Source organism: Homo sapiens, chromosome 2 (assembly GCF_000001405.40).
Source record: "Homo sapiens chromosome 2, GRCh38.p14 Primary Assembly".
Taxonomy (NCBI): Eukaryota; Metazoa; Chordata; class Mammalia; order Primates; family Hominidae; genus Homo; species Homo sapiens.
The window spans coordinates 33,355,487-33,378,060 of record NC_000002.12 but is presented as its reverse complement, the minus strand read 5'-3'; the positions used below and the strand labels follow the sequence as shown (position 1 = coordinate 33,378,060).

At 38.6% G+C, this 22,574-nt stretch overlaps 1 protein-coding gene across 65 annotated transcripts in view; it reads right to left on the bottom strand.

Annotated features, from left to right (window-relative positions):
- Nucleotides 1-22,574, bottom strand: part of LTBP1 (latent transforming growth factor beta binding protein 1) — a 452,557-nt gene that overhangs the window by 21,449 nt on the left and 408,534 nt on the right. For all 65 annotated transcript variants that reach the window (XM_011532853.3, XM_011532857.3, XM_011532861.3 and 62 more), the window contains 5 exons: nucleotides 17,282-17,464; nucleotides 16,546-16,632; nucleotides 14,543-14,671; nucleotides 13,705-13,845; nucleotides 12,558-12,728 (listed from right to left, as the gene is read on the bottom strand). In XM_011532853.3, the coding sequence (XP_011531155.1) occupies nucleotides 12,558-12,728; nucleotides 13,705-13,845; nucleotides 14,543-14,671; nucleotides 16,546-16,632; nucleotides 17,282-17,464 (711 nt within the window). The remainder of the gene's footprint in view (nucleotides 1-12,557; nucleotides 12,729-13,704; nucleotides 13,846-14,542; nucleotides 14,672-16,545; nucleotides 16,633-17,281; nucleotides 17,465-22,574) is intronic.

Here is a 22,574-nt window from a genome sequence, read left to right as displayed (position 1 = left end):
CTAAGACTTTTACTTTTGAGATAAATATGATTGCTTGTTGATATGGTTTGACTTTGTGTCCCCACCCAAATCTCATCTTGAATTGTAATCCCGACCTGGTGGGAGGTGACTGGATCATGGGGCAGTTTCCCCCACGCTGTTCTCATGATAGTGAGGGAGTTCTCAGGAGAGTTGATGGTTTCAAGTGTGGCACTTCCTCGCTCTTTCTCTCCTTCTGTCCTGTCGCCAGGTAAGAAGTGTCTGGCTTTGCCTTCTGCCACAATTATAAGTCTCCTGAGGCCTCCCCAGCCATGAAGAACTGTTCTTTATAAATTACCCATCTCAGGTAGTATCTTTATAGCAGTGTAAAAACAGACTGATACACTTGTTAACTAAAAATAAGTGTTGCTTTTTAGGATCAGATTGTTTACATGCATGCCTGAATTTCTCTCCTTTCGCTCAAACTAGAAAGATTTTAATAGGACATCAGTAAGATTATTATCATAATGAAATTTATTTTCTATTCAGAGTATTTTTTATAACAGAGAGTGGCCAAATACTTTCCCTAGCACTTCCATGCAGTATAGCTCTTAGGAAAAGTGCCATGAATACAACTGACACTCCAAGGCTCAAGCTGTACAAGAAGTAAAATTTCAGAAGTGCTCATGTCACCAACGAGTAACCCATTAATCAAACTTCTCTCGCCTTGAACTGTTCTCTAATGGCTGGTGAGGACACTGAGGCAGTAGCTTCAATCAGCTTTCAAAACAGAGAGTTCATGCTACAGTGCAGTCTAGCAAGGTCCACTGGTCCTCCCTGGTCGGCGTTCCAAATACTTGCTGACTCACCCGCAATCCAGGGATTTGGGGTTTGGGAATGGCAGCTTGTTCCAGGACACTCCTCCAGAGCTCTGTCTTCAGCAGTTTAGCAAGAAATGAAGGAGTAAGTTTTCCCCTCTATCAGGGTTTTTAAAAATTTTATTTTAACTATTCTCACCTTGCGGCAAACCATGTTTGCTTTTCTTCTGCTTTCAATGACTACAATAGGATCATAACTGGAATGTGGCTTCCTTGCCCATTGCTTTCTTTCCTTCCAATGCACCTGCCCAAACATGGTTATTTTTTAAAAACACACAATTTAGCATCTAGTATTTTTCCTCTTATGTACGTACTGTCCCTGCTTTTTGTACCTGGCTTCTCTGCCATTCATTCCTGCTTATTTGGCCCCTTTCACAAATCCAGTACCTCTTCCCCAGTTTAGTAAAGGAGGCCCTGACCATCCATAAAAGCCCCATCCTGCTGGCAGCTATTGATCTACTAGGGAATCTCAGTGGGGTGAGGATATCCCCTTAGGAGAAGGTATCTGATTCCTACGGGAGGGCATGTATAGTTGGATAAAAGGTCCTATTTATTTTTTCTGTCCTATTATTCCCTTGAAAGTCACTGCAATGGAAGATACTGATTATAAAAAAACACACATGAGAAACACCTGGGATCCCGTTAGCACGGAAGCAAGAAGGTGCTCCGCATCCTATGGTGGGCAGGGCAGACTCATTACTGAGAGGATGCAGGTCCCAAGTCCTGGTTTTCATTCTCTCATTTCCAACTGGCAATCAGGGTCCTGAATTTTTTCAGCCACTAACCTCAGCTGGCCTAACACAGTAATTCTGCTACAGAAATAATGAAGTTAATTAAGCTTAGAATGTTAACACTTTCTGTGACACGTCTTAGGGTGAGGGCTTTTTCTTGTTATTGTACATGTGTTAGTGCCTAAGAGAATCATATCATCAGAGAACCTGACAGGCCTTGCAACTTCAACTCAAAACTGAATTTAGATTTTGGATTTTAAGTTGAATGAGGATTAGGAGAATTTGATTAGGTTGGTAAACATTATTTAAATTTATTAGGGAATTCAATTTGTTGTGTTTTAAGTTTGGTTTATTAGACTTATAAGAGCTAATTAAATATTTATGAGGAAATGCTTATTAGGATTGTGAGATGGAGACCAAAGTGTTCAAAATTTTAATTAATAGAATTTATATGTAGAAATAACTTTTAAGTTTAATCCGTTCTTTGAGACATATAAACAGTCAACAAATAAAATTGATCTTATTTTATAGAAGGTTATTGGACTTATAAATAGGATGATAAAATGTGAAAGTTGAAATCAAATTCTTAGGAATATCTAGGTTTTAACATTTAAAAATTGAGTACATTGAATGTTCATTAAAACCCAACATAGGCCGGGCGCAGTGGCTGACACCTGTAATCCCAGCACTTTGGGAGGCCGAGGCGGGCAGATCACGAGGTCAGGAGATTGAGGCCACCCTGGCTAACATGGTGAAACCCCGTCTCTACTAAAAAAAAAAAAAAAAAAATACAAAAAAATTAGCCGGGCATGGTGGCGGGCGCCTGTGGTCCCAGCTACTCAGGAGGCTGAGGCAGGAGAATGGCGTGAACCTGGGAGGCAGAGCTTGCAGTGAGCCGAGATCGTGCCACTGCACTCCAGCCTGGGCGACAGAGCGAGACTCCGTCTCAAAATAAACAAACAAACAAACAAACAACTCAACATAATGGTCCTTTGTGTGCATAAAGCCTCTCTTTGACTTCCTAACTTACACTGTAGGAGCCTGGCCGGGCACAGGTGGAGCTTCTCTGCAAGTACACAGGGGTATTCGGGTCTGTGCAATTCCCTGAACACCCTCCTATCCCTCATTGTCTTTGATTCTTGGCCCCTTTCAAAGAGACTTCTAGCACTGGATAACCAGGGAGCAGTGCATGATGAACGTTGACTCATTTCCTAGAACTGGATTTGATTCATAATAATTGCTAACGCCTTTCGCTATGGCGCATTTACTGTAGGCCAATCCTCTCCCATGCATTATCACATTTAACCCTCTTGAGCATGTAAGAGCCATGCATGGATATGGAAGAAATCACTAGGATTTCAAGTGAGGAAATTAACATACGGATCACATTACATCAAAGAGCTACTTTCAGTTTGAATTCACTAATGAATTTTATTTTGCAATAATCTTTTGAGAGTAGTAAAAGTATTTTCAACCTTTCTTTGGGAGGGGTGAGAGAAAGCTTTCTAAATAAATACAGGAGTCCTTTCTTTTTTCTTTTTTGGGAAGGAGTCTTGCTCTGTTGCCCAGGCTGCAGTGCAGTGGCACAATCTTGGCTCACTGCAACAGCCACCTCCCGGGTTCAAGCGATTCTTCTGCCTCAGCCTCCAGAGTAGCTGGGACTAGAGGCACACGCCACCACACCCAGGTAATTTTTGTATTTTTAGTAGAGATGAGGTTTCACCATATTGGCCAGGCTGGTCTCGAACTCCTGACCTCAGAATCTGCCCACCTTGGCCTCCCAAGTGCTGAGGTTACAGGCGTGAGCCACTGTGCCGGGCCAAGAGTCCTTTCAATGAGGAACAACATAACTGGCTTACTGGCCATTTCATATAACATCCATTCAATCTAGTTCCATGGATACCAAGAGTTCAGTCCCACAGAACTGGAACGCTTGCCTGTTTTATAGATATTCTCTGTGCCCGCATGACGGCCACTCGATTTCCTTTTGTATCTTTCTAGTTTGATTTTAATTTTCCATTGTAAGTGACTAGCGGTTATTGTTTCTTTAATTATAATGTTCAGGATCTATGATTGAAATGATAAATGCTTTCATAGTGATTGTATTAATTATCATAACCTCACGAAGAGGTCTCAACTTTGGATAAAGGAGGTTGAAGTAATGTGCCCAGTGCAATGTCACAGAGCCAGGACCAAAAGCAGAAAGAGATCCCTGGATTGCCTAAACCAAAGGCAGTGACCACTCATTGTTTCACAAGTAGGGTGTTCCAAAGTGATTATTAACATTCTTTGGAAACATATTTCTTGGAAAAGCCTTTAAACCGTGACTGCTGACAGGCCTTTTGCAACTATGGCCCAGTTACAATATTTTTTCAAGTTTAGTCCATGAGTCAAATCCCTGTCTTCCTTCACACCTCCAAGGGCATTACGAAACTTCTTGCCCTGAGATCTTTGGGAGCGTCTAAGAGCCATGCACAGATATGGAAGAAATCACTAGCCGAATTGTTTGAAGACATTCCAAATTCTTTACTTTTGCAAAATGATATGAATACTTGGGTAGGTTAGATATTAGGAAGGATTGAAAAATTTTCTGTCACAGCAAATGGTGAATTTATTAAAGTATCATTTGCAGATTTAAAATACATAATATTTAGGAATAAATTATACTAATTATGCATTTCATTAAATACAACTTTACACCTGTTCCAGAATTGTTTGCCTAGTACATAGTAGGCATTCAATAAATAATAAAATAAAGAACATGTAAGTAATTTAACTAAAACTGAAAACAGGTAAGTTATAAATAATTTAGATTTCATTTCAGATCATTTACTTATCTCTTCTTATAAACCACAAGCTGTATATAATTTATATACAGTAATGATAATTCTTCCTAGCATTATTTAAAGGAGTATGAATAACTGACAAATATCTTCTATTCCCCTATAGCACAGTCTACCTTTCTCAAAGGAAGTTGGATACATACTGACATTGCTTTGACTCAACAGATCCTCACTAAGTGCCTATTCACATCATGCCTTTGTGCTTTATTCTTTTATTCAATAGGCATTAAACAAAATCCATTTGCTCTTTCATCAGTCCCAGAACTAGAATTTTTGATTCAGATGTGTAAGTCTGTCTCTTCAAACTGCTCTCTTAGCAACACTGAGAGGACCATGCCTCTGTATGTTGATCAATGTTCGTGTTTCATTAAACTTTGTTAACATTTTTCAATTTATTTTGTGGCACCTTCTGTTTCCTTTGGGACCTCATGTTTTAAAACCATCTTTCTACACCTGAGTAGTCAAGAAATTACCTGTGCTGTAGTACATTACATCGCCAATAGGTGGCATTCTCCCAACACACTAGTTGTCCCGTTTATCAAGTCTTTGTTCCGTTTACTTACAATGTCTAATTACTTTAACAATTTACTTATCAGAAATCTAATTATTTTAACAATATAAAAAGACACTGGGATCCCTGGGTACTTAAGATTCAAATGTTCAAATATGTATAATTTTCTTTCATTTGCAGATCAACGGATTTTGATTTCCATGAGATAATGGCACCCTCTATCTTGTGATTCTTACGTACATTTTCCAGAACATTTAAGCTTATGTTATCTTTTTTCAGATGAAGTCTTGCTCTGTTGTCCAAACTAGAGTGCAGTGGCACGATCTTCGCTCACTGCAACCTCCGCCTCCTGGGTTCAAGCAATTCTTGTGCCTCAGTCTCCAGAGTAGCTAGGATTGCAGGCATGCGCCACCATGCCTGGCTAATTTAGTAGAGATGGGGTTTCACCACGTTGGCCAGGCCAGTCTCAAACTCCTGACCTTAAGTGATCTGCCCACCTCTGCCTCCCAAAGTGCTGGGATTACAGGTGTGAGCCACCACACCCGGTGATTAAGCTTATACTTTTAAGAGTAGCAAAAAATAAAAACATTAAAAAATCATTTTAGATTAAGTGATAGGCATCACTAAAAGTTTTATTTACTGAGAATTATTGACTTGCTTTAGTTCATTAGTCCATTGAATATATAGTTTTTTGTTATTCCTGCCAATGTGTCTGTGGCTACAGATTTGATGACACATTGCCTCTTATTATGCTCATTGTTAGCTCTAAAATCAGTTTTTCTTTTAGCACACAATGTGTGAGACAATTTTAAAATCTCAGCTTTAATTCTTCACTTTGTTACTTTTCTGTTCTAAGGGAGACTATTTAAGATGTGCTTTGGGATCATGGAAAGAGACTCGAGTAACACTGAAGAGGTTAGAACGTAGATTCTGGAGCAAGGGTGCCTGGATTTGAAGCTTCCACTTACTGGTACGTGACCACTGACAGGCATCTTAAGCTTGCTGTGCCTCAGATCCTCTGTCAGAAAAAGGAGGGGTAGTATTCTCCCTTATCCACTAGGGATATGTTCCAAGACCCCCAGTGGATGCCTTAAACTGCAGGTAGTACTCAACCTTATATATACGATCGATTTCTATCAGATAATGGAGCTGCTACTAAGTGACTAATGGGCAAGTAGCATACACAGTATGGACACCATGGACAAAGGGATGGTCCACGTGCTGGGTGGGACACCACCAGATTTCATCACACTACTCAGAACTGCATGCAATTTAAAACTTATGAGTTGTTTATTTTTGGAATTTTCCCCTTAATATTTCGGACCGTGGTTGACTGTGGGTAACTGAAACCAGATAAGGCAGAGGACTACTGTAACTGTATACCTAAGATGGCTTGGCAAGTTAAATATCTCAGTAGATGGAAAACATGTTGAAAATGCCAGGCATTGTGCTATGTATATGTTAGTTATCATTTTTATTATCACTTAGACTGAGAAAAACCAAGCAACAAAAAATCTATATCCAATAAACTCCATATGCAACCAAAGGCCTCAAAGTTCTGATAACTCTATGACTTTCTTCTCTCACAGCGCTAGAAATTCTCAGCAAGATCAAACAATGACCACTCTGTCTTCATTTATGAAATGGATACAATGGCTCGTTTTTCCTGACTTGGTTTCCCAAACAGCTCTGTCTCTCAGAGGCTGACATGACATCACAATAAAGACCACAAATTTGAGGATCCTCCCAAAACAGTTTAGCCACCCAAATCATTTTAAGAGTGGGCAGGATCAGCGGGTACTGTGAAAGGGGAAGGAGAAGAGGAGTCAGGGGCTGCAATGGGGCAAGGAAGGCCTCCAGAAGTCTGAATGGGGAGACAGTCAGTCCATGATACATCCATGGTGAAGGAAAAATCAGGAACTTCCTCCTAGTGCAGTCTGCGGTCTGGCCTCTGTAGTGGAGCATTGAAATGGGATCCTAAGCAGCCCCAGAAATGTATGAATTCTACAATTATGCAATTCTCCTTATGTAAAGCTCCCCTGACACAATCCATCACACTCATTTCCCCTGCATGTGGTACCAATATGCAAGATGCCATCTAACTTCAGAGAACACTATTTAAGCAGCCACTCCTACCTCCTGCACCTACCAGTACTCTCAGATGTAGTTGCTGCTTTAGCAAGAATTAGTGCCCGTGACCTGTTGGACCAGAAGTGTGAAAGCTCGCTCTGGAGCCAAAGCTTTATTTTACACTGCACTTTAATGCTTAAAGCTGATGACAAGTGGTGCGATTTATTCCTTAAATTCCTCCAGCACTGATTCCATCAGTAACGAATTGTTCCCCAAAGCAGTACTGCACTCCTAAGGAAAATGGGATGCATGATGTCTGACAGGCTGGGATTAGTCCAGTGCTTAGATGAAGAGATAGACAACGTGGTCCTTCTCAACGATTAAGATATCCGGGAACAGTATATTTAAAAGGTTCAATGGCAGAAACTATGAACAAACTAGTTTTAAAATTCACATATTCTTTGCTTCCTTTATGATAGATAACTACCAGCATTAACGTAGGTTTTAACAAAATAAAGTTAGATGCTATTAGATGGCTCTAGAGCTTTGCTTCCTCCTCAGAGGAAGCAGCAGCAGCAGCAGCAGCTTGGGACTTATCAGAAATGCAGAATCCTGTGTCTCGCGCCCCGCCCCATCTTTTGCAAGTGAGAAACCAGAATCTGTTTTTTGATAAGCTCCCCCAGGTAACTGACATGCCCATTAATGTTTACGAAGCAGTGGTCTAGAAAAGACAGTCTTACATTAAGAACAATTATTTCTGCATTTGTCTACGCTTAATTTATGTTCACATGCTATTAGGTAACTGTAGATTTTATAAGATCCTTTGGATTTTAATTACATTTGAAAATGCATTTGATCTGAGACGCCTATTAGTGGCAGCCATAGTTGTTAGTATCTTCTGAAAACTTACCATGTGTCAAACACTATTTGAAGTGTTCACGTATTATTTAATTCTCACAACCACCCTGAAAGGCAGATATTATTTTCACATGAGAAACTGAGGTACAGAGAGAGAAAATTAACAAGGTCATGGGGAAAAGAAGTTGCCAAACCAGGATGCAAAGGCAGGGCAACCTGGTTCTGGGGCACATGTGCTAACCCTGATGCCCTGGGGCTCCTCTTAGTTCACTCCACTCCAGCAAACATGTGCTTTGCAACAAGAGATGGTTTTGTGTAAATGTGACTACATGATTAGGTGCCAATGAAGGGAATGCCAACTAATCATAGGACCTGTGGAAAAGTTTAATTTCACTGTGTACTTCTCTCTGGATTCAGAATAGATGATCCATAAGCCTAGTTCTAGGTCCGTAATTTTGGTAGTATAAAAGAAAAGTTCCCCTGTGTCTACCAAATACAAAAAATTATTTTTGTGTGTGTGGTGGTGCGCGCCTGTAATAGGTGGGAGAATCTCTTGAACCTGGGAGGTGGAGGTTGCGCTGAGCTGAGATCCCGCCACTGCACTTCAGCCTGGGTGACAGAGCGAGACTCTGTCAAAAAATAAAAAAAGTTCCTTTGGGGCTACCTCCCTAATTCCTATATACTCCAACAGATATATTTCGAAAGCAGTTTTCAACATGCGTTTCCTGGAACCCTGGGGTCCTTCACAGGGGCCTCAAGAGCCTAAGTAGTTGTTCTCGCCAACCAGCCCACCCAGCATCTTTAATGTCAATGAATGTGTATGCTGGAGGTTAAAATTACAATACAGTTAACAAAAAAACTACCATTGTTTTTTAAAAAGTAACGGATTGGAAAGCACTGATTTTGGTTTGGCTGACCATGTACACTAGAGATTCTTCTTGGACATTTTATCATAATAACTGTGGATATACAAACTAGAAACAGTATAGCAATGAAGCTAATCTTTTTTTTTTAAATTTGGCATGTGTTATCTTTTTTCCCCTGATATTCTGTATTTTTCCAAAAATATTATATAATATGTACTTCATATGTATTTGTTCTAATCTACTTTTTAAAATGTTTTTTGAAAACTTTAGTTGAAAACAATTTATGCAATATTCTGAAATCCATATTTTTAGAATAAATATTTAAAATAAAATTCATTTTTAGAATATTGCTACATTATTCAAAAATTCATTTCTCATAACAAAATACTTGAAGGTTTTTAAACCTAGTCAATTAAATTGAGTGTAAATTTTTACAGTATTTTGGGGGTATAATTTTATTTATCTATTTGAGACAGGGTCTGGCTCTGCTGCCCAGGATGGAGTGCAGTGGTGCGATCTTGGCCCACTGCAACCTCTGCCTCCCGGGCTGAAGCCATCCTCCCACCTCAACCTCCCAAGTAGCTAGGACTACAGGTGTGTACCACCACGCTCAGCTAATTTTTGTATGTTTTGTAGAGATGGGGTTTCACCACGTTGCCCAGGCTGGTCTCAAACTCCCGAGCTCAGGCAATCCACCCACCTCGGCCTCCCAACATGCTGGGACTACAGGCGTAAGCCATGGTGCCAGCCAGAATAATATCATAAATTTAAAGTGTACACACTTAGCCTGGTATTTTTATTTGTCAAAATTTTCTTACTAAGCCATTCCTGCAGACGCATACATGGAGGTTCATTGCAGCATTGTTTATGGGTACCTACCCAAAGGGAATGAAGTCATTATATCCAAAAGATACCTGCATTTGTGTGTTTACTGTAGCACTACTCACAACAGCAAAGAGATAGAATCAACCTAAGTATCCACCAATGGAGGAATGGATAAAGACATTCCCTTTGGGTAGGTACCCAGTTAGTGGGATCGCCGGGTAGTTCTATTTTTAGTTCTTTGAGAAATCTCCATACTGTTTTCCATAAAGGCTGTACTAATTTAAATTCAAATGATGTAACTTCTTTTTTTTTTTGAGACAGAGTCTCGCTCTGTCGCCCAGGCTGGAGTGCAGTGGCGCGATCTCGGCTCACTGCAACCTCCACCTCCCAGGTTCAAGCTATTCTCCTGCCTCAGCCTCCTGAGTAGCTGAGATTACAGGCATGCGCCACCAGGCCCGGCTATTTTTTAGTAGAGACAGGGTTTCACTGTGTTAGCCAGTATGGTCTTGATCTTTCCTGACCTCATGATCCGCCCGCCTCGGCCTCCCAAAGTGCTGTGATTACAGGCATGAGCCACCGCGCACGGCCAAAAGATGGTAATTTTTAAACAGCTGCATGGAATCTGTTTTATAGATGTACATGATTTATTTAGCCATCTCTTGTGCTGGGCATTTGTTTTTCTTCCTCCCCTAACCTTTCCCTGCCCCATCTTGCCCCAGTCCTGATTTTCCTTTTATAAACAATGCTGCAATGAACCTCCACATATGCACCTGTAGGAATGCCTCAGTAAGAAAATTTCTTTATCCATGTAATACCACTAAGCCGTAACCAAGAATAAAATCGTGTGTTTTACAGCAACATGGGCGGAACTGGAGGTCACTATCCTAATTGAAATTACTCAGAAGCAGAAAGTCAAATACTGAACGTTCTCACTTATAAATGGTAGCTAAACAATGGGTACACATGGACATATGGAATGGAGTAATACACACTGGAGACTCCAAAATGTGGGAGTCTGGAAGTGGGGTAAGGGTTGAAAAATTACCTATTGGGCACAGTGTTCGCTATTGTTAAGGGTACACAAAAAACACAGACTTTATTTACCACTATGGAATACTTGCAGGTAAGAAATCTACACTTGCACCCCTAAATATATCAATATAAAAAAATTTTAAGTTCTAACTTTCATCTATTTTAAGAGATCCTAGATTGTAAAATGTATCTTGATATAACAGATGTTAAAAATTGGGAAAAATAACCCGTGGACATTGTTATATGTCATAATTATCAGATGACCCCAATCTCAGGGATGCTGAAGTGCAAAATAACAAGCAAAGTGTAGCTTAGATTGATGACATAGACTTCAGTTATAAATACTCTGTTGGATATAAATATATTAATATACAGCAATAACTAATATCAATATATAATGATAATTAATATATAAGAAAATGCTAGGATGATAAAAACCCAACTGTCAAAAGTGAGTGTCTTTAAGGAGCAGAGTTCAACTGTGATGGGGTAGGTGGAGGGGAATATAACCTCTTTGATTATTTTAATACTTTAGGAGGAATACATGTGATTTTTGGAAAAAAATTAGACAATATAAAACCACTGCATAAATAAAAAAGATTTGAGGTAGTATAGCATTGTGAGAAAATGACTCAAAAGCCTCACTGAACTCACATTAACTTAGTGATTTCACTTTTATCTCCCCGTGGCATCTGCTTCCAGGGCCCGAAACAACCAGTAAAGCTAGTAATTACCCCCTGCTCTACCTACATCCTCCCAGCCCTTGCAACAACCCAACAGGACAGATGTAGACGCCTCCGTTTTACAAATGAGCTGTACAGGGTGAAGTTATTTTCCCCTTGTCATGCAGCTGCTATGGCAGTGCTGGATTCCAGACTCAGTGCCAACTGGCCCCAGACCTGCCCTCTTTCCAATTCTGGGCTGCTATCATTGCCATCTAGTGCTTTGTGTATTTGCTCTTTATCCTTGGCTATTCATTTTCTTCTTACGGGAATTCCCAATTATTTTCTCTTTCATGCTACGTTGGTTTTAAGTTATTTCTAAGCTGCAAAGCTAATTTTCTAAAGAGCTTGAAAGAAATATTCTAATTGAATTAACTAAAAATTAATGCATTTCCTCTTTTCAAGCAATTTTTCCCCTCTCGACCATTCTGAGAATATATTCATAATAAACTCCTTTGCTTTCTACTTGCACATGATCTTTCTAGCTTTAACAAGTCAACTTTACAAAAGGATATACTGGACACTTTCGAGTGCTTTCCTTTAATGAGAAGGTGCTATGATGGTAAAAAAGGGAAATTAGCAATCAGTGCACAACTCAACGGTCACCAAACAGCCTAGCCAGGAAGCACAAAGCCAGCACCTTCCAGGCCTCCTCCAAACTGGGAGAGGGGATGAAACTGGGAGCTTAGCCTGTCTCATCTTTTCCATTTGACCAAAGGTTTAAACCCAGATAGATCTAGAACTTGAAAGGAAAGGAGATTTGTTGAAATACTTCTTCAATTACTTTCTGTACTTTTCCCTTTTTGTTGTAACCCGTTTCTTATATCTCCACATACAGAGATTGACATGAAAATTTGGACTTTGACCTAGAATGATTTTCTACCGTCTCTAATACACATTTTGGTCTAAGTAGAAACTGTTAGGAATGAGAAGAATTGTAGTAAAAAATGAACTGCCAGGAAATATAAATTCTAAGCCTATGCCACTGATTGCTAAGTTATGTTTTTTTGGGTCATTTATCATTCATTGGGGTAATGGAATGAGAGTTTCAAAAATTAACGACAGGGTCGGGAGTAGAGGTAAACCAGGAGCCAAATGTTTATGCAGTTCTGCCCTACACACACACACACACACACACACGGGATGAAAGTAAGATATCAGGAGTGAAGGCAAAGATACAGAAGAGAAATGTCAGGCTACAAAGGAGGTGAGATGAACTTGTCCCCAAAGGCCTCCTGCAGAAGGAATTGGATATGGGCTCACCTGAATCCTTCAGGGGGCAGAGGGCACACTGCATGCCCCAGGCCTCTCCATACAGACAGCAGCACTCAGTGTACGTTGTCTGCTTGCCCACAAGAGGCCGGCTACACACGTATTCATCACTCAGATGTTCCCAGCACAAATCTTGGTAGACATCAGTTTCTTCTATTTGTTCTGAAAGGGAAGACATAGTTCCATGAAAATCGCACAGTTATTCCTATTTATAAACACTGTGTTGGAAGCCAGCAAGTCTCAAAGTTTCCATCTCTATTTCTAAGAGTGACTTCCAAGTAAAAGTCTGAATCCAGTCTGGTCTTTCAATGGATCAATTCTCTGTCATCTCCAACTGGGTGTCATTCCATCAGTTGAAATTCCAGCTGCCCATCCGGTCCCGACACAATAGTTCTCTATAGCTTCCTACTTTTATATAAAATGCCCACTATCTTGCTTGTCCTTCATAAGCCATCAGGCTTCTCACTCTCCTAATCTTCACTTTTTCATTTACTCCTGTCAAACCCTACCATTTCTTTCCATGTAACAGCTATTGGATTCATGCCTTCTTATCCATTTAATCTGCCAAAGCCCTGGACTAGTGACCCTTCATCCTAGAGTCTTTAATTCCTACCTTTCAATTGACTTCATCCAAAGCAGTCTCCTGAGGCGAATGACAGATTATGCCAATTATCAGCGGCTTTTTGCCAATTATCAGTAGCATCAGGGAGGACAGGAGTTTGTCAGTGGACTTCGGGGCTCTCCACCACCCTGTTGAACTCCACCCTCTGTTCTGCTGAGCCTTATCCACATCCTCCACTCTGCTGAGTGCACCTAATTATCTTTCCCTGAATTACATTTCCCTCAGCTGCCTCTGCAGGTTAGGGATGATGAACCCTAAGCCATGGAACAACCCTGCCATCTGCTCAGCCACTCCATAGTCCATACTTAATGAGTATGTCCAGGCTATTAAATCTCCTACATACTGATGATATGCATCTTATTACTATTTCTGTAAGTATCTCATTGTATCTCATTTTAGTTATTTCAAAATACCCAAGGAATCCATTTTTCTATTTTCCAATAGTTCACATTTTAGTTAAAAGGAAAATCTTATGATAGTTATTTGGACACAGGTTTGCATCTCCTGGAAACATACCGTTTGACTCAGCCGGTCGTATACATCTTTTTTCTGACGCATCCAGGACCATGGGGTGAGTACAGAAGCAGTTGTAAGAGCCCTCTGTATTAACACACTGGCCATCAATACAACTACTGGGGTCTTGACATTCATCCATATCTTAAGAGCAAAAAAAAGTATTACTAAAGAAAATCAGCCATCAGTTGTACCTCATACACTTCCCAAACTTTACACATTGCTATATTTAGTCCAGATTCCAGGTGCTGCCAAATTTTAATTAACCACACATTATCATCCAAAAGAGAGTGGCTCTGTCTATAAAAATGTAAGCTGCTCTGACTGAAAAACAACATTGCTGCTGCTGCTGCTGACATTAAATAAGGAAAGAAAACATCCATGAACAGGATATGCTTAGAAATTTAAGATTAAATGGCTCTTTATGATAACTTTTAAAATTATTTCCTTTTGCTATGTTTTTCTGCCTAGTGTATATGGTTTTCTGCTTAAGCATTAAAGTCTGGGTCAGTATTTAAAATGGCTGTCACTTGCACGGTATGAGTGATGAAACAGGATGTTCCACAGACCAAAAGAACACTTCAGTTATACCAGTGGCCTGAATCATAATTCCACAGTGAATATTAACTCTTTGTTTGAAATACATTCAAACAGTAGTATGGAGGTGGTTTTTTCTTTTTATTTTCTTCAATTGTGCTTAAGAAAAAGATCCCTAAAACGTTTACACATCTTTTCAACACATGATTTAGATTCAAGGAAATTGTTTTTACTACATAGCATAGTTATTTTTTCCATCTGTATATTTTCACAGTACACCATACTATATCCCCCTAAAGCTTACCAAAGCACTGCAGTTTCACAGGATCATAGTACGTCCCTTGCTTACAGTAGCATTCATACCCAGGCCGAGTGTTCAAACAGAAACCATTTTTGCAGATTTCTTGTCCAAAAAGTAGGCATTCATCTGCATCTACGGGGAAAAAAATTGAGAAATACAAAAAGGAGTTAGGTTTGATCTTTCAATTAAAAAGAGTCTAACCAGATTTGGGGCTTTAAGTTAGATATTATAATATTTACATTCCAAAGAATCCTACACAAACAGCAATATAACCTTCTTAAAATAAGGCCTAATTGGCAGGCATAAAAACATAAACAGATGTAGTTTGTCTGTGATATTTGAGAAGCAATGCCCAAAACATTATAGGAGAAGTGTATTTGTAAATATGGTTTCTGAGATGCTACCTCATATTTGATGAAATGGTCTATGGTTCCATAGTGGCATCAACAAAAGGATATATACCTTTTAAGAAATGTGTTCTGTAATGTATATTCTGGCCCATTCACTAGTTGAGATGTAGAAAGTTTCCAATAAAGTTTGGTGGAACTTGAATGCAAGTCTTTCTTGAGGATAAAAGAAAGCACAAGTTGCTGAGGGGGTTAGCAGACCCATTCCCCCACAGAATTAATAGCTTTTGCTATCTCAGTTTACTCAATGATAAATTGGAGACAATAGGAACATCTACCTAATAAGAGAGGAAGGATGAAATGAGATAATCCATGGATAGGACTCGGTATATGCTCTGGCATAAGCAGATACTCAAAAGTGTTATCTATTGCTTTTACTGCTATTATTAGCATTAGTTCTAGCATTTTAGAGCTAAGGTCATCTAGTCCTCATTTTACAACCTGAAGACTCCATAGATGACTTGCTTAAAGTTAACACAGATGGAAAATGGCAAAGTCAAGCCTAGAACATATGGCTGGTTGGATCTGAATCCAATCTTCTTCCAACCATTTACAGCACTGCTAAAATAGGAAGACAAGGAATTTATTTTGATATAAAAGAGAAGATGAATTTATGGTGAAATCAAAGCTCTGTACCTTAATATGAAGTGAGATTTAACTACATCCCTGCAAAAACATAGTAATGTATATTTGTGAATTTGGAAACCATTCAACACATATTATAAACCAAATCTTCTCATTATTTAATTGGACCAAATCATAGATGTATTTAAAAGAACACAAATGGAATTTCTTATCCAGCTACTGAATTATACCATATTATTCAAACACTAGTTTTCCAAAAATGGACAATAAAAATGATTTTACAGTGTGTTTCCCAGCTACTTAGCAGTCCTCAGTATTAAACTATAAAGGAAAAAAAATCACTTTGTATATAAAAGGTAATATCTCTATCATGAAAATGTCAAAAGTGAGTGGTTAATGAGGAAATATTCATACATGTGGATATTCACCAAAATTAAAAGGCCGCACATTTATTTTAGAATTATATAACCGTAGCATCAAATACATAAAACATGTCTACTTTGGTTGTCTTCTCTTCCATTTCTCATTATGAACTTGTGCACACTGGTAAAAGGCCCCACAACAGTAGGATAAAGTCTAAAAATACAAGAACCTTAGCTTTGTTGATGACCATAAAGACAAACAGTGGTCAAATTTATATGATCATAATTGATATGATTTCTATTAAGCATCTAGAATAAAATATTTAGTAAGTATCTACTAGGTACAGAATTTGTTAAGTACTTTCAGATATATATCTTAATCATTATAACCTTTGAGAAATTATTCCTATCTCAGGGATGAAGAGACAGAAACTCAGAAGTTCACCTCCCAATGTCAAACTCCGAGCATCATACAGTTTGTGTTCTGACTGCAAGTCCATGGGGACTTTCTTTTAATGGTAGAATTAAGGACTTTGTAATCAGTTTTCATGACTAAAAAGAACTCTAATTCTGTGAAACCCAAGCCATGTTTTCACTTGAATATCTGACATGTACACAATGTGCTGAAAATTTGTTTCCACTTGATTCTGACCTTTATAGTTCTCACCACCAGCTTCAGAAGATGATTCTCCAGCAGGCACAAAACCTTTCCCTTTGGGACACATTTCAGTGAACTCAGCTGATTTTAGAAGAGACAAAAAAAAAAAAAAGATTCAACATCTTCCATGAATGCATGTTTCAAATTCAGTTTTGCTTTCTCAGACTCAGTAACTTTAAGGCAATTCCAGCAAATAAATTTAGTACAATCTCAAAAAATGATGGATTAAGTGCAAAGAAATCTAATGACTTCATAGGTTTTCTTACACTTTTTAATTTAAAAAACCTCCAAGTTCACTAATATTTTCTTACTCATGCTTTACTTGAAATTATAACTATTATTTTTCCACTACTGTGATGTATAGTATCTTAAAGGTTTAGTAAGAATCAATTACACGAAATCATAGCTTCAATACACAAGCTTTAGTTACGAATAATGCTGTATCATTGTCAGCAACAAAGACTGATTTTAATTTTAAAGTGGAATAAAACTGAATTAACTTTCTGCCAAAATATCACAAAGAACCTGACTGTCAAAGTACACGATGATGAAGAGAAGTTCAAGGATTCATATTAAGATGGGATGCAGGTGCTGGCTCTAGCCCTGAATGAAACTCACTATAAGGTAAGTCGCCTTGAGTTGGCTGTGGGAATGAGTGTTATCATTTCAAGGCCCAGGGACACCATGTGACCAAACACAAGTGTGACTCTACCACTAAGCGGATTCTTACCAGTTCCCAAGACCGGGCAGGGGAAGATTTCGCAGTTATCTCCCCATCCCACGCCTGATGTACAGCAGCATTCTTGTTTCGTGACATTGGGGGCCAACACATTATCACAGAGACTGGCGTCATTGAGATTATAGTAGCATTCTTTCTTTTCTTCTTTGGGTTGATCTACATCTACATCTAAATCTAAATGGAGTAGAGAAAGTAGAGTGACAATAGGACACATCAGAACTACCTAAGACAACAAGTAGAGAATGCAATGGGGGAAAGAGTGACCGTGTCAATAGCATTTGCTTTATAGAAAATGCTTTCCACTTTCAGTGTCAGATTCTTCCACTTTGAGATAAAAATGCACTTGAATCCTTAGTTTTGGTGGAATTCTAACATACCCCAAGAGTGTAAATCTGTCAAAACCATTTCCTTTTACGTGAACCAATTATTTTATTCTTGCAGATTTGGCTGTGAGTAGAGTTTCCATATCTCCTTTTCTTGCCAAACATAGGGCCATTTGTTACTGAGCTATAACACCTACTTAAATCAATAAAAATTTTCCCAAATACTTGACCACGGGTCTGAGCCCACACATAATATTTAACCCTTAGGTAGTTATTGGAATCAACCATGCTCCCAATCTTTTCTGAAGACTGCACAGAAGATAACTAGGAAAATACTGTCGTAACCTGCAGCCTATTAAATAACCTTTCATCACTGAAAAATCTAACTACTTAAATTGTTGCAAATATATGACTGAATGACATAATGAGTGCCAGCTAAGCCTCAGGGTAGAATTTCAAATCTGGGTTCTAGTCCCAGCTCAACTGTGTCCTAGAGGAAAACATATTCTAACAGATTCAGCTTAACCCTCTGTGTGATAAAACACGAACAAGGCGATATGAAAGAATACAAACAATAAGAACAAAATCCACCCACTTTCAGATAATAATGAAATTGATTGAATTCAATCAGATACGAAATCTTTGAACAAGTCTGTGCTTTTAAAAAATGATCACTATTTTGTGACTAGACTTGGAAAGTAGTCACATCCCTTCTCTCCTGTATACTATGGAGTTCAAATTACTGCCTATGATCCAGTTTGAATGTATTAACTGTTTTTATTTAATGCCACATCAAATAAGAAGCTGACTACTGTCATAATAATTACTTAGATTAATTCTAATGAAATATTGCCACTAGAACTCTACTATTTCCAGATTCTTGGGACTCAAACTCTAAGGTCAAAAGGAAGACATTTACTGATGAGGATAAGAGTTTAATGTCCACACATACTTACACTTACCTTTGTTTTGAAGTTAGTAGATAATTATATTAGCAAGGAAATTAAATAAATTATTTTTACAATAGCTTCCTATATGTTTATTTTTGCAGGGCCTAGTTGACAATGGAAATTTTATTAATATATTAAATAGTAAACGTGTTTCTAAAATATAAACTCATAAAATTCTATCCGAAAAGCTACTGCCCTTTCTCTTTCCTCTTCTGGCATTAAAAGCAAGCAAAGCAGCAAACAAACCTCTGAAATATATACTCCTCTCAGAACACAGAGCATCAGTGAGAATATAAAGATCCCTCATCCAGTTGATTCTGGCCAATTCTCTGATTATTTTGTCTTTGACAGATTTCAGCTTGGACTGTAAGTCAGCATTAATAGCTGATGACAAATGCAAACCTAGAACAAGCGTCCAGGAAAAACTCAAATGCTGATTTCTATGCAGCAGTTTACGAAGTGGTTTTAAATCATTTCCTTGTGTGTGAAATTGGGTAAAACCTGCCACTTCCCTCATCTGGTCTAGCTTGCTTCAAGTGTGCAGAGGACTGAAATTCACTTTGCGTACTCTTAACGGAACGGATCTTCGTTAGAAGGGCCTCCAAGCTCTTAGACATGGAATTACTTAGGAAAACTAAGAGTACGTATTTTAAATTGTTATTAAATCAATTATGAGCCCTATAGAAAATTTTAGAATCTCTCCCTCAACATGGTGAATAAATTGTCAGCCTGTTACTACTACCAGTTCCGCTCAATTATTTTATTCAGCTGGTCCAAAAATGTAGCTAGCTATTAATAAATAATAGTGAGAAATACAAATCAAAAAAGCAACAGGGTTTTGGTAATCGGGTTTATTCTATGGTTTGTGCTAAAAGAAGCCTCAGATTTTTTTCCCTCATGTACAAAGTTGTAAGTATGTCATGGTGTTTATTACAAAACGGAATACTTTGTAATAAGGCCTCAATGAAGATTATACTCACAGGTAATTAGAAACTATAGGCTTCTCGAGTCCAAAGCATGTCAAAATTATAAATATATATAAATTTAAAATTTGAAATATATTTAAATATAATTTTATGCATTTTAAACACACACACATATATATAGACAAATACATATATGGTAAACATTGTTTTGTTTACTAAAATGTTTGTTACACTCACATCATACAAACTAAGAAATAAAACAATCTTTGCCTTTTTGGAGAAAGAGATTATTTCCCATAAGGGAAATAATCAATAATGTAACTATAATTATTTTTTACACTGGTTGTTATAAGTTTTGGTCTTATTTTCTAAGACATTTGAAAGTTCAATGTTTATACAGCTGAAACTGAGGGTTAGTCAAGCCCTCATCTTGACTTACCCTGTTTGGAAAGAAATGCAAATTATTTTCTAAAAACTAGTCCACAAAGGTCATTCTGGGAAAAGCTACAATTTCCCTATCTTCCTAGTCTTTAAGTAATTAACTTCCTAGAGCATTTTTCTATTGGGATAAAACTCTGGTCAGTAAATATGTGATAATGTAATTTCTTAAAGAAACTCCTACATGAGTTTAGTTCATTGCTGCCAGGGGTGGAGGGTTTCTATATTGGAAACTAATTTTAAAAGGTCAAATCAATAGCTATAGAAAGTGGCAAGCACTAAAAAATGAATACTCTTTTTCTTAAAGATATTTTGAGTAAGATTAGCTGTACTACATATCTCATGCCACAGACTTCTAAAAAATATATTACTCCTCCTTCAGTATTTTCAGATTAAGTTTTCAATTTGCATGAAGAGGCTGGCTTCACATTTGCATAAAAAGATCAAGTTTTTCATATTTTATTCTAGAGGTGTGGCCGGTAACAACAAGAAAGTTCGGTTTTGGACATTTTCTATGTTTTTTTCTGTAGGAACTTTTACAGAGGCCTTTTCATGTGATCCAGAGGGTAACTATATGAGATAGAAGGTGCTGGTAAATACAGCATCCTCACTTCCCGGAAGAGAAAACTAATGTCGGTTCCAAGTGGCCTATGTCTACTACTTTCCCCAAAACCCTTCTTTGGAGCTCAGGTTCTTATCTCACATAGCATGGGTTTGTTCTGCTTTGCCCTTTATTCTCTGTGTTTTTTCATCTTTGAGATAAATGGGAAGAGGGCCGCAGATAATCTCTGCTGCTGGGGGTTCAGCAACAAGGCCACAAATAGTGCAATCATGTCCCCTGGCTCTGAATAGGAAGGAGTAGGTTTGAGCTGAAGGCACCACCTATACCAAGCCCTGTCTGGGAGCTCCTTCTCTCTTGGTTCATCAGCCTAAAGAGGGTGTGGGCCATTTGCTTGTAGGGCCGTTTCCATCTTTAGTGTTTCCCCATACATGTCTAATCTTAGGAATTACTGTTGGGGTGAGAAAATCTACAACATGTAGTTGGTCAAAGTGGACATGAGCTTTTTAAATGGGCTCTCCCTTTCCATTTACAATGTGTTCTGAAGGTTTTTATGAGCTAATCTTCTCTGTACCTTTTCCTAACAGTCAGAATTATTACAATGACCCAAGAGTAACACTGCTAATACACATGAGTAAATAGTTACCCCCAAAGAAACGCTGCCTATAGTCCTGAAAAGAGATCAATGGATAAAACTCTGTGTGTGTGATGATGTTCAGTAAATTACTTTCAGCAGAATTACCCAGGACACTTTATTTCCTTTTTTATTTTAAAAATGCTACAGGCATTAATGTTTTAATGAGAAAGAATTCTGTAATATTTCAAGGAGATGTCAAGGAAAACTTAGAAATTCATATGCCTTGTTTCGAGTTTTCTCACACAAGAACTCGGAAAATGAGAAATGTGGTTTTTTGTTTTTTGTTTTTTGAGACAGACTCACTCTGTTGCCCAGGCTGGAGTGCAGTGGATCCGGGTTCACACCATTCTCCTGCCTCAGCCTCCTGAATAGCTGGGACTACAGGCGCCTGCCACCATGCCCGGCGAATTTTTTGTATTTTTAGTAGAGACAGGGTTTCACCATGTTAGCCAGGATGGTCTTGATCTCCTGACCTCGTGATCCACCCACCTCGGCCTCCCAAAGTGCTGGGATTACAGGCGTGAGTCACCTCGCCCGGCAGACATTTCTGATCTTAAAGCTTGAAACTTAACATCTGTTTTATCTGAGTTCCTTTCTCAGGAAATGACTTTCAGGCCTCTCAAAGAAAGTATCAAAGAACTGAAACTCACCAGATCACCACATCCTGACAACCAGATGCTGACCCCTGATTCATCACGATTGCTTCCCTGTCCCTCCCTTGCTCCTGTTTTCTTACACATTGTTACATTTCTTCCCTGTTACATAAACCCCTAGTTTTAGTCCATCAGGGAGATGGATCTGAGACTGAGCTACCATCTCCTTGGCTGTAGCACCCAATTAAAGCCTTCTTCCTTGGAAATACTTGTGGTCTCGGTGATTGGTTTTCTGTGCAGTGAGCTGCAGAACCTAGACCAAACCCCTGGTGTTCGGTAACAGAAAGTGGATAACTTCAGATGGTAAAACATGCCAAAGCAGTCAAAGTGAAGTTTAGAAAAAAAAAAGCACAAAAATAAAAACACTTTAAAAGAGGATCTCTCCACATAGTTCTTGCTCTTAAAGAGGTCTTAAGGAGTGAACTGGAGGCTTCACTCCCAGGACACACACGCACACCTAGGCCTCACTGCAGAGGGATGGGTAGACAAGGCTATCAGGGAAGGCTGCCTGGTGGAGCTGACATCTAGTGAAGGCATTACAAGAGATTGGAGAAAATGAGCCTGGGACAGTGAGAGGGTGAGGAGAAGAAAAAGTCGGGGATATTACTCTAGAGTGGAAAAGCAGGGGGAAGAAAAATGAGCAGAAATGGATGAATGAAGGGGCTCCTGGAAGCCAAATAAAGTACAGTGGGCCCAGCCCTCTGTATCCATGGGATTCACATCTGTGAATTCAATCAATTGCAGATCAAAAATATTTGAAAAAATAAAAAACATACAAAAACAAATAATACAAATAAA